The following is a 13,379-nucleotide window of genomic DNA, read 5'->3' on the forward strand; positions in this document are numbered from 1 at the left end:
TTCTCTACCTCCTTTGGGGTTGATTCTATTTATCCTCAGTACAAATTCTCACTTCTACTACCTGATGCCAAAGAATTACGTTGACCTATAAAGAGGTTCATGGAAGCCTTATTTTTGCTACATTTGAAGCAGGTGACAAGTCCAATATGGAAGAATATTTAAGGAAGGCATGGATCGCCTGCTCACAGGTAGCAAGGAACCCTTTGAAAGGTTGCCTTGGAGAATCCATGACACTCCAGAGGAAATGTTTACGGTAAGTGAAAAAAGCAGACTGCAAATATGTACCTCCAGGGTGCTCACACCTACGTAAAAGACGCATGGCTGGATAGTATCAGGCAAATTTGGAAGAAGCCATGATTTCCTTCTTAGCACACTTCCCTCCTTGTTCCCTAACTGTGATCCTGCCTCATGGAAGCCTGATCACTAAACGTGTTTTCTCTTCTCCCCTGGTTCACACTGCTCTTACTGGCTAAAGTACTAACGAGACTTATTTTCTTCTCTTACAATCATGTACTTTTTGGTTATAGAAGTAATGCATACTCATTGTATGACTTTTTGGCAAATACAGAAAAGTATAAAAATATGATAAAAACCGGTCATAATGATGCCACTCAGAGATACCACAGTTTAGTTTATATTTGGGAGCATAACTTTTATGCCCAACCATCTTATAATGAAGGAACTGACCTACATGTGTTTCTGCTCTGTGAACTCTGAGTTAATAAGCCACCAACTCAAGATCACTGGCTCCATCCTAAATTGCTGTCTGACCTCTTGGCAAGTCGCTTACCCTCTCTATTCCTAAATTTCCTAATTTGTAAAATGCGAGAGTTGTTCTGTTTCTATCAAAAAAACTATCTCAGCCCTAAGAATGCTATAAATTCATAATAGTGTAGTTCTAATAGGAATCAGATTTATATCTAGCATGACATGCAGGCAGTATTGATAACTTTTCACGTGACCAGTGAGATCCCTCAACTACATAATATGCCCACCCCCTTAAAGATCTCTATCCGTTCTCTTCCATCCCTCCATAATCTAGCCACACAGGAACCACTTGTGTCTGTTCTGATGAACCACCTGCTGTGATGCCTCTGTGCTTCTCTCTAAGCTGTGTCCTTCTCCCAGAATAACCTTTCCCACCCTGTGCACATCAGGACACTGCCCAGATGTCTCCTCCTCTAGGGAGACTTCTCTATTCTCCCCGGTGCAGGATCAGCTGCTAACTCTCCTATGTTCCCGCAAGACTATGCAGAAGTTGTTTTACTCACTCTTATTGAGTACGGCTGCAATTTTTGTGAGCATATCTATCTCTAAACTCTGGGGACAACGTGGCTGACCATTGCGATTCCAGACCCAAGGTTGTCGCGGACCTAAGGGAAGAAAGGAGTGCTTCATTTATGCTGAGTCATCATTCCTTATTATTAATACAAGGCTTGGAATAAGTAAGACACAATGATTTGATGTTTTGAACAAAGCCAAGGTGACAATGGGTAAAGCCGAAGGAAGCGTTCATTGCCATCAGGCCATGGGCAGTGGGAGAAGGTTGTGGTTATTTTCTTGCAGCAGTGCAGGAAGCCTGTTGCACTCTGAAACGGGAGCTGAATGCCTTGGTGGAGATAAATGGGGAAGGCATGTGATACACCCGGCAGGCAGTAGCTCATCTCAAATTAGCTGAAGCCCCTGGGTTGGTTTTTTTTTTTTTTTTAGACAGGGTCTCACTCTATTGCTCAGGCTAGAGTGCAGTGATGCGATCACAGCTCACTGTAGCCTTGACCTCCTGGGCTCAAGTCTCAAGTGATCCTTCTGTCTCACCCTCTTGAGTAGCTGGAGCTACAGGTGCGTGCCACCACACCCGGCTAACTTTTTATATTTTTTGTAAAGAGAGGGTTTCTCAATGTTGCCCAGGCTGGGCTCGAACTCTTGAGCTCAAGCAATCTGCCCACCACAGCCTCCCAAAGTTCTGGGATTACAGGCGTGAGCCACTGCTCCTGACTCAAGCCCCTGGGTTTTAGCCAGGACAATGGGTCTCTGTGTAGTCGCAGTCTAAACTCTTCTGCTTTTGCACTAATTTGCAAAATACACGGCAAAATCTTCAGGCTGCATAGATGGGATTGATCTGACATTACCTTTCCTGTTTTCAGCCCTGTTTATAAAAACCATGTTGAATTAATGCTGTTGCTTTTAATGATGATAATTTTTGAGGAAAGTAGCATGTTATTAGACAGATTTTATTATAAGAAACACATTTCTGAGCCTCTGAAAGGCACTACCTTTCTGGGAAAGAAGCAGGAAGATGAAAGAGAATGAAGCCCCATTTCCTATGAGCCACATCCCTACGACACCTTGAAAGGCCCTTTGTTCACTCCAATGCTCTGGCCACATCATTCCACTTGCCTGGCCAGGCACTCCTCCTCTGACAACCTTAGGAACTCACAGATTCCTAGCAAGAGAGCAGCGTTGAGTCCTGAGCCCTCAACTGTGAGCTCCCAGAGCTAAGTTAGGCTAGATTGTGGAGGAATGGAAGAGAATAGATAGAGATCTTTTAGGGGCGGTCATATTGCATGGTTGAGAGACCTCATTGGTCACATAGGCTGTTATCAATTTCGCCTACATGTCAGACTAGCCATGAATCTGATTCGTATTAGAACCACACTATTACGAATTCATAGCATTTTCAGGGCTGAGAGAGTCTTTTGATATAATCAGAATAACCCATGCATTTTACAGATTAGGAAATTCAGGAACAGAGAGGGTAGCTGACTTGCCAAGAAGTCACACAGCAATTTAGGATGGAGCCAATTACAGACGCCATTTATAAGACAGGAGTCTTCACATTTCATTTCTCTGAATTTCCTCTTTTTTGAACTGTGCCCAATTGACTCTAGGCTATAAATTCTTATAACTGAGATAATTGGCCCATTTAACTGTGTGGGGGATGGTTCAAGGCAAAGCCAAGCTTCTCTCCCATTTTCCTTAGCAATTCTCCATTCAAAATTCCATAAATACTTACTGATCATTTACTATGTAAGCAGCATGCTAGTAGACATGGAAAGTTGAGCAGTGAATAAGAGGCTGTTGACGATGGGGCAGAGGAGGGGAAGAGGGGGTATTGAACCATTTACTGTACGATTAATTATTTGACTCCTAGGGGGCAAAGGGAGCCTCCTCCAAGAAGCTGAGTGCAGTGGTTTGAGGGCATAGACTGTTGGGCTCAGGCTTTTATTAGCTGTGCAACCCCTTGGAATATTCTATTGTCATCTGTAAAGGAGTTTGCAGCAATATCTATCTCGAGGGCCAAAAGAAGCATTGAATGGGGCAATCTTTACAAAGCATTCTGCAAGGGACATTAGGTTAGCAGGTACTCAATAAGTGTGTACAATTATTTAAAGTCTGAGGGAGGAGGGGAGTCAGTTCAGACCTTGAACAATGCCTCTGAATAGAACTGCTGGAGCTGCCTCTCCAGGAACTGTGAATGGTGGTCCAGACAGGCTCCAAGGCTTTGAGACTGAAACTACCTTTGCAAAAATTATGACAGTGAAAGAAATCTGATCTAACTGACTCCATCTTGCTTTTAACCTCACAGCTACCCTTGCTTATTCCTGGGTGTATGCCAAGGTAACTATGGGAGGAATTTAGTTTTCAGTTTCATTTTAAAACAAAGATGATAACAACCCTTTCCTGAAACAAACCCCTTCCTTGCTTGGGGACTGAAAATGCCTTTGTAAAACTAACAAATTAGCCACAAGATTAGAATTATGGCTCAGGAGTCATGGAACCAGAGGTCACAAGACCCATAATCTCCACAAATTGCTCTTATAGATAACAACACTACTGTAAAACCTAACATTGGTGTTTAAGGTATTTTTCAGACCCTTCATTCTGATAGATCAGCTGGCACCACCTGGACTGGTGGCACATACCAGGAAACTGGCTCAACTGGTCATGTGATCCCACCCGGGCAATGACTCAGTACAAGAAGACAGTTCCAACCTCCTATGATTTCATCCCTGACCCAACCAATCAGCATTCCCAATTTCCTAACACTCTGCCTGCCAAATTATCCTTAAAAAACTCCCTAGTCTCCAAATGTTTTGGGAAGCTGATTTGAGTAATAAACTCTTGTCTTCCCCTTGGCTAGCTCTGCATTTATTAAACCTTTTCTCCACTGCAACACTGCTGTCTCAGTGAATTGGCTGTACCTGTGCAGTGGGCGAGAAGAAAATGGTTATTACAAGACCATCACCCACCTTGGGATACAGTGCTCTTGGGCTGGCTTTTTTTCAACTTTTGCAGCCTCTCTCATCCCCACCTCTACATTTAAGGCATGTGAGTGTCCCTGAGATCACCCCCTGCAGAGAGTGGGGTAATTGCTACATGGGGAGACTGCCACCTGACTCTCTGGCTGAGAGCTTCTCCAAGTGCTTCAAGAACAGAGCAGAAAAGTGTGGGGAAACAGTGTCCCCCAGATTTTCAGGAGGATGGAAATGCAGTGAGACACAAAGGGTACAGTTGGTGCAAGCTGCCTGTCCATTAGCTGCAGGACAAAGTACATGCTCCCTACGGGCCAAGTGGACTTGGAGATGATAGCTGGGCTGGCACTATCTTGAAAGGATTTGAGGTAAGACAACCACCTGCTTGGGCAAAGAGATCCCAGGGAAAAGAGCACAAAAGCCCCACCAGAGCACGGGCAGAGGGGCAGAAACAAGAGGCTGGCAGGGAAGTGGGTGGCCTCCATCAGCGAAGGGAGAAACCTTGGAGAGCTCCATTGGAAGTCTCTGAAGGAACTCACAAAAGTAGCTGCCAGAAGGGGATCCACCAAGTGGACCCCAGTCATGACAGAAGGCACAGCCAGGAGTTTTATTGAGGTGCTCAATTAACCTTTGTGTCTTTCCTTCTCATTCATCTTTCCAGCCCAATAGTAGCAGCCTGTGAATGGAATGGGCCTCTCACTTTTCTCCAACATCTCTCTTCCCCGCACTGTTCCCTGCACCCTGTTGTTTAGTTCTCCTCCAGGGCAGAGGGCAACACTGCCTTCAGACCCAGGTGAGCCAGCTCCCCGTCCTGAGCCCTGTGTCTCAGAGGACCTCAAGCTTCAGCGAGCCTCAAAATTTCCTAAGTCTTTCCAGTACCAGGGTCTGTCTGGAGCTAGCTGTGCCCTTTGAGCAAGGTGCCTCGAGCCCAGACCTGGTTCCAGTGATTCCAGCCGTGGAAAGAGTCTTACTGGACATTTTCTAAGCCTCTTTTCTGTGGTTGGGCCTGGCCAAGGCCAGCAGTGCCATCCAGGTGGGACATCAAAGTTCAGACTGGGTCTTACATGGATTCCAGACCCTGTTTCTTCTCCTTAGGATGCTTTTGACCCTCTATTTCACACATGGGGTTGACCAGATGCCTGGAGTAGCTCAAAGAATTGTACCTATGTTGTGACTCTGAGGTCCTGTGGCCAGGCCCGGGGGGCAGCCTGGCACACAGATCACTCTTGCTAGTTGGTCCAGAGTTTCCTTCATGAGGTTTGGGCTGTCAGGTTGGTGTTGCCATGATGATTTGGGGTGACGCTTCCTCCTATCTGACACAAGATGAGTTGAGTTCAGGGATCTGGGCAACCAATGGTCCACCATCACCCCTGGGCTGAGCCATGCATTGGTGCTTACCGGTCTTGGCTCTGACCATGGTTCCACTTCCAGTCTTCAGCACCCAAAGGCTGTGGGGTGGCATTAGGTGCCCTTTACAACAGGCATGTTCTTATTTCTGAACCTGGGAACCTACACCAGGTGTCAGGGGGTCTTCTGGGGGATGTGTCCCCTGATCTAAAGGGCCTGAGACCGGGTCACCATTGCAGTGGTCCATGGGAACCTGGGATGGCAGCCCTCTCCTTCCTGCACTGTGCCGACCCTGGAAGGATGAGAAGCAAAGCCAGAAAAGAGAGAAGGAGGTGGAATAGGAGATAAGAAGAAAATGCCCCTCACTGCCACCTAAATACACTCCACTCACTCCAGAAAACTACCTGGGTGGGCAGAGAGGAGGGATTCTAAGTGGGTAACATTGCAGAGTGTTGTGATCACCCCAGACCTGACTGCAATTATGTGACTGGCCATTAGACAAGATACTTTAATTCCTTATTTTTTATTTTTATTTTTTTGAGATGGAGTCTTGCTTTGTTGCCTAGGCTGGAGTGCAGTGGTGTGATCTTGGCTCACTGTAACCTCCACCTCCAGGGTTCAAACGATTCTCTTGCCTCAGCCCCCGAGTAGCTGGGATTACAGGTGCCCGCCACCACGCCTGGTTAATTTTTGTATTTTTAGTAAAGGATTTCACCATATTGGCTAGGCTGGTCTCGAACTCCCGACCTTAGGTGATCCACCTGCCTTTGCCTCCCAAAGTGCTGAGATTACAGGCATGAGCCACCGTGCCCCATCCAAGACATTTTAATTCCTAAGACAAGACTTCCAGCTACCAGAAGTGACAGAAGTAAGGCCATGGAGGGGACTGCAGTGACATCCAGGTTGGTAAGGACCCAGATGGTAGCCACAAGCCACATGGGGCTATTTAAATTTAAATTAGTGGAAGTCAAATACAATGAAAGACTCAGGTGCTGTGTCTCATTAGCCGCATGTCAAGTGCTTGAAAGTTATACATGGCTAGTGGCTACCCTGCTGGCCAGTGTAGACATAGAACGTTTCCACCCTGCAGAAAATTCTCTTGGACAGGGAGGTTCCAGAGAGTGGCTGAAAGGAATCACGAGAGAATTCGTGAAGCTGGTTTCTGCTACCCCTTGGCTGAGTCTAGATTGGTTAGTGTTAATTGAACTTAACAGTTACTTAAGATTAAGGGAGGCATTATTTATATTTTTTAAGATGAGAGAGATGGGAGCGTGTTAATATGCTGAAGGAAAAAGAACCTGCAGAAAGGGAGAGAGGAATGGTATTGGGGAGGGAGGGGTGATTGTAAGAGCAAGGACGGTGAGTTTATTTTGAGCCCAGAGGTAAAGTAAAGGTGTCAGATGATTCTGCAAATCATCATGAATTCCTGAAACAAGAAAGGAACCCACAACCCAGACTGGCTTGCAATTCTCTTCCAAAGGGAAGTGGAATTGCCGGTGTGAACCTCCTTAATACTTAAATGCTTTGCAGATGAAACAGAAAATAACCAGGAATTGCATTCTCAACACCGCCACTGCATTTACAGAGCCTCGGGCAGGATATCTGACCCATTATTGTCAGAATATACAGAGTCCACATCCCAAACCATTAATTTGAGATTCTGCGTTCAATCATTATTTATTCATTGTCAAATTTATATGACATACAAAAACCTCTTATTTTAACACCTGATATTTGTCTCAGATACATATAGAGAAAGGCTTTGCATCAGATGCCAGTTTGACTCTCTTGAATTCTCAACCACAGAAGCTCAGGGACTCTTTGCGTGTGCAAGTGTGTGTGGGCATCTGTGGGAGTTCACAGAGTAAGGGCATGACACAGTTCAGTATTTTCATCTCCTGAGCAGATTTTCTGGGGAGTGATGGGTAAAAGGGCACAGTGGCTTATGCCTGTAATCCCAGCACTTTGGGAGGCCGAGGCGGGTGAATCATGAGGTCAGGAGTTCGAGACCAGCCTGGCCATCATGGTGAAACCCTGTCTCTACTAAAAATACAAAAAATTAGGTGGGTATAGTGGCGGGCGCCTGTAATCCCAGCTACTCGGGAGGCTGAGGCAGGAGAATCACTTGAATTTGGGAGGTGGAGGTTGCGGTGAGCCAAGATCATGCCACTGTACTCCAGCCCGGGCTACAGAGTGAGACTCTGTCTTAAAACAAAACAAAACAAAACAAAACAAAACAAACAAACAAACAAAAAAACCCACCATGTCCACCTTTCTACGCAGTGCTGAAAATCTGTTTTGGACCTTCCAATCAGGATATCAGAAGAAAATGTCCCTTGTGGCATATGAAGGCATAGCACAGAGCGGTAGCCAGCCAGCCAGCAAGGGGAGGGTTTTACACCAAGAGAAAAGCCACTCCTGCAGAAAAAGTGATGAGTAGAGGGCATTTCTCAGACTGCTTTGGGCAGAAGCAGTTTTCTTAGCAATCCTTTAGCTAAGAAGTCTGTACTTGGCATTTATTTTGAGCCCAGAGGTCAGAAAAGAGGTGAGATGATTCTGCAAAACATCACAAATTCCTGACAAAAGAAAGGAGCCCACAGCTTGGGCCTGCTTGGAATAAGGACAGTGTGAGACAGCTTGTAAAGAAGTCACGGAAGAAGATAACGCAAGGGAAAGAGGCAGAGAGAAGAGAATACTCTCCTGTCTCCAGTTAGCTGGGACTTTCTTTCTTTTTTTTTGTTTTTTGAGATGGAGTCTCGCTCTGTCGCCCAGGCTGGAGTGCAGAGGTGCGATCTCAGCTCACTGCAAGCTCCGCCTCTGGGGTTCATGCCATTCTCCCGCCTCAGCCTTCCCGAGTAGCTGGGACCACAGGTGCCCGCCACTACGCCCGGCTACTTTTTTGTATTTTTAGTAGAGACGGGGTTTCACCGTGTTGGCCAGGATGGTCTCGATCTCCTGACCTCGTGATCCGCCTGCCTCGGCCTCCCAGAGTGCTGGGATTACAGGCGTGAGCCACCGGAGAGTTTTCATGTCTTCTCAACTGAGAGAGAATTGGAAGATAATGTCAGAATCTCACTCCATGCAGCATGCAGCCTGTTTTTTCTTAATATCTGGTTGGATTTGCAACTAGATTTTCCTAAGATGAGACTTCCTGTTATAGGAAGTCGCTTAAAAGGCTTTGGAGTGTGTGAGGCCAAGACCGGCAGATCACGAGGTCAGGAGTTTGACAAAAATTAGCCAGGTGTGGTGGTGTGCGCCTGTACTCCCAGCTACTCAGGAGGCTGAGGCAGGAGAATCACTTGAACCCGGGAGGCAGAGGCTACACTGAACCAAGATCGTGCCACTGCACTCCAGCCTGGGCAACAGAGCGAGACTCCATCTGAAAAAAAAAAAAAAAGGCTTTGTAGTGGACTGCAATACTATCTAAGGTTGGCAAGGAAACGTAGGGTGCCCACAAACCACATGGGGCTCCTTAAATTTAAATAACCCTCCAACTCTTCTACTCAGTCAGGCACTTGGAAGTCGCAAAGGGGAAGGGAGAGGGGAAGATTGGCTTGGAGACCTGTACACATGTCTTTAACTTAATGTTAAGTGTGTTTCGGCCTTGAACTTAGTATTAAGTGTAGCTCTCGTTCCACATGTGGTTCAGTCATTCACTGCTAACCTTATCTTTTTTTTTTTTTTTTTTTTTGAGACAGAGTCTTCTTTTGTCACCCAGGCTGGAGTGCAGTGGTGCGATCTCAGCTCACTGCAACTTCCGCCTCCCAGGTTCAAGCAATTCTCCTGCCTCAGCCTCCCGAGTAGCTGGGATTACAGGCACCCGCCAGTACGCCCAGCTAATTTTTTTGTATTTTTAGTAGAGATGGGGTTTCACCATGTTGACCAGGCTGGTCTCGAACTCCTGACCTCATGATTCACCCGCCTCGGCCTTCCAAAGTGTTGAGATTGCAGGCGTGAGCCACTGCGTCCGGCCCAACCTTACCTCTTTTAAACACCCACTCCCCTCTGTATCTGCCCCAGGATAGGAACCAGGTTCTGCAGTATCTGAGGACATGGGTTCTGGAGACCAGAGGGTTCTGCTGTTTGTTAATAACATAGCACAGAGCAAGCGTTTCCGCCTCTGTGCCTCAGTTTCTTCAGACAACAAGTGAGACTAATGGTCATATCTACTGCCAGGGTCATTGTGAAGATTTATAGAGGTCAGTTTCTGTAACTTGCCAGGCACAAGGCCAGCACTCCCCAAATAGCAGCTATTTGTATTATTTTTGTTACAGCCTCAGCCTATGGGCTTTAAGCCTCAGAATTAGAGTGGCTGGTCTCCCACGTTCTCATAAGCACCCACAGCCAGATGGACAGCTCTGAATAAGATGGGTCATTATACTGTGAGGAAGAAAATCAGAGCTCCCACGGGGAGACACGAGCTCTCTGTATGGAACTGTCAAACCATTTTGGCAGCTGTCTTGCAAACAAAGGCAAAAGTGGGATCCTGTGGTTGATGGGTATGCAATGATCAATTTCTGTCTTTGGGAACTGCAAGGAGGGAGACACCATGGTGTGATAAGACCCAAGCTGTCATCCCTGCCCAACGTTGACAGTCATCTAACTTTGCGGGGCCGGCTTTTGGGTTGATGGACCATGTTGCCTACCTGAGTGCTTTCTGCTCTGTGATTCTGTTACTCCAAGAAATGGAGCACGTAGCCGTCAAATCCTCTTCCATATGGGGATGAGCTGTATTTCTTTATGGGGGGAGGGGGAAGTGTGTGTCTGTTTCTCTTAAAGAGTAACAAATCCTGGGATATCGAAACTGTGAGTCTCCTTGGAAACAATGAGAAAATGAAACTTTGGATTTTTCATTTTCCACCACTTTGAGATAATACGTCAATGTGTGTAACCTTTTCTAGATTTTAGCACTCTGAGCACTTACGGATTGCAAAAAGCAAAGATCTATGCCTGGAAGTCTTGTATCTATAATATAAAAAATGTGCTGGCATATCCACTCACAGCAGGAACATATTACTGCTTTTATGAGTGACTTTCATTGAAAAGATGGACTGGGATTTGGACTTTCTTACAGTCTCTAACACAATTTAATAAGGACTAAGTGCAGGTAGAGGATTGAAGGATGGTTTCAGGTTCAGATGCACACTTTTCTGGGCATGACAAAGGCATGCTGTCTGACTGCTTTGGTGCCTCTGGCAGTGAACTCCACTCTAGGAGTCTTAGAAACACTAAAAGGCTGCAGTGCCTTGGGGAATTTGTTCAGTTTCTGACACGTAGTTCTGGCGTCTCCCACCATCTCCCTTCTGCCTCTTCCTTGCTTCTTTCCGCTGGGTAGGGTGTGTCTGGTACTTTGGCTGGGTGTTCTACCTGGTTCATCATTTTGGCTTTATCCTGGATCTGCCCTTCCCCTCCCTTGACTCCACAGTCTTCCAGTTTTACCTTCCCCAACCCTCACTCTGGCTCCTAAACCTCCTCCAGAGTCCACTTACCCATGAGGGCTTGGAGCATCCATTCATCTGCCTCTGGTTTTCCTCCTGTCTGAGGTCCTCTTTCTTCAGTACCCTAGGGAGTGGGATAGATAGCCTGGGGTAGGACGCTGGGGTCCAAAGGAACAGGGGCCACTGCTCAAGAGAGTGGCTTGTGGCCAGCTCTGGGCTTGAAGCTGAAGTTCCGGGTGGACCACTTGTGGATGGAGCACAGTGAGAGGTAGATATATCAAGCTGAACAGCACACACAGCCCTTGAACAGGCTGGTCCCTGCAGAGCAGAGCCCTTGTTGGTGAATTAGCATTCAGGGGATACACTCCAGGATTATAAGGAAATGAGCTGCCAAGAGTTAGGCTACAGATTCTCAAAAACCTAGGCATAGAATTACCACATGACCCAACAATTCCGCTCCTAAATACCTACCCCAAATAACTGAGGAACAGGGGTTCAAATAAAAACATGTACACAAATGTGTATAGCAGAGTTATTCACAATAGCCAAAAGGTGGAAACAACCCCAGTGTCCATCAACGGGTGAATGGAGACCTACAATGTGGCATATCCATACAATGGAATATTATTCAGTCGTTAAAAGGAATGAAGTACTGACACATTCCACAATGTGGATAAACCTTGAAACATTATGCTAAGTGAAAGAAGCTAGACACAAAAGTCCACCATTATATGATTCTATTTATGTGAAATGTCCAGAATAGGCAAGTCCACAGAGCCCGAAAATAGACTAGTGGTTTTCAGGGACTGGGGATGGGGGATATGGGGAGGGACTGCAGTGGGTACAGGATTTTCTTTTCGGATGGTGTAGATATCTGGGAACTAGATAGATATGATGTTTGTACACGTTTGTGAATGTGCTAAATGGCAAGGAATTATACACATTCAAATGAATATTGATTAATTTTATATTATGGGAATTTTACCTTAATTTAAAAAAAGGTAGGACAGTCTCTAGCCTGCACTGGGAGATGGGCAGATACATTGAGAAAGCAGTCATGTTACTGAAACCTAAAAGGAGGATTATATCAGGAATGGGTTTGGCTATACATGTAATATTAATATAAATTATATTAACGATAGCTTAAGTAAATGGGGGTTTATATTCTCCACTCAGAAGTCTGGGGTGGGTGACTCATAATGAACCCGACAATGATATTGGGGATCCAAGCTCTTACTCTTCTCTACTGTTCTTAGTATGTATACTTTTGTACTCATTCCTCTTCATCACAAAATAGTTGCTACCATTCCAGCCACCATATCTAGGTTCCAGGTAGGAAGAAGGGAAAGTTGTAAAGAACTGTAGGTGCATTTCCAGTTAGACCTTTTTATTTATTTATTTATTTTTTTGAGATGGAGTCTCACTCTGCTGCTCTGTTGCCCAGGCTGGAGTGCAGTGGCGCGATCTTGGCTCACCACAACCTCTGCCTCCTGGGTTCAAGTGTTTCTCCTGCCTCAGCCTCCTGAGTAGCTGGACTACAGGTGCATACCACCATGCCCAGCTAATTTTTGTATTTTTAGTAGAGACAGGGTTTCACTATGTTGACCAGGCTGGTCTTGAACTCCTGACCTCAAGTGATCCACTTGCCTAGGCCTTTGAAAGTGCTGGGATTACAGGTGTAAACCAGTGTGCCTGGCCTGAGTGGGACCTTTCAAATAAGGTCCTGGATCCTTATTTTCTGGATCCGCCACTCACTGACAACAACACTGGGTCAGAGAATCCCACATTGATGCATCAACGAAAAAGTGACTTGGGACAGAATTACAGGAGGTTGGTTCAGTCAACCAATGATGTCTGTATGAGAACCAAAGAAAAAAGTCTGGAAATTGCATTTTATACATGAGATGACCTGGAGATCCTCAGCTGCAGGACCTGGATCTTGCTATGGCAAGGTCTGCCGTGGTGACATTTGGCCTCAGGATAGATCAGCACTATTCAGAGATGCAGCCTTCAGGAAAGGGGCATTGTTTGTTCCTGGGGAAAGCCCTAGGGAATCTGATTTAATAGCAAACCCACAGGAGGGAAGGATGGTCAGCTTGGGTAATGTTTCCCTCATCAGAAGTCAACGCAGGACTGGTCTTGAGCCCAGGGATGGTGGTCCCAGCTGGGAGTTACTGGGGAGAGCAATGACCACTGAGATGAGGTTGGAAGCAATGGATACAGATGTGGGACCCAGAACTTGTCTCGACAACATGACAAGATCAAGCCAAGGATGGATATTGCTTGGCATGGGCTATTCCTGTAAAGAAAATACTGTCCATGTCAAAATAAAGTATACTTC

General features: G+C 46.0%; 1 long non-coding RNA gene across 2 annotated transcripts in view; it reads right to left on the bottom strand.

Annotated features, from left to right (window-relative positions):
- The window catches only part of LOC105375340 (uncharacterized), a 32,332-nt gene extending 29,258 nt beyond the window's left edge, over positions 1-3,074 (bottom strand). For both annotated transcript variants that reach the window (XR_001745238.2, XR_001745239.2), the window contains exons 1-2: positions 3,014-3,074; positions 1,272-1,373 (exon numbers count right to left, since the gene is read on the bottom strand). This is a non-coding gene — a long non-coding RNA (uncharacterized LOC105375340). The remainder of the gene's footprint in view (positions 1-1,271; positions 1,374-3,013) is intronic.
- Positions 3,075-13,379: the final 10,305 nt, after the last annotated feature.

This window comes from Homo sapiens, chromosome 7 (genome assembly GCF_000001405.40).
Source record: "Homo sapiens chromosome 7, GRCh38.p14 Primary Assembly".
Taxonomy (NCBI): Eukaryota; Metazoa; Chordata; class Mammalia; order Primates; family Hominidae; genus Homo; species Homo sapiens.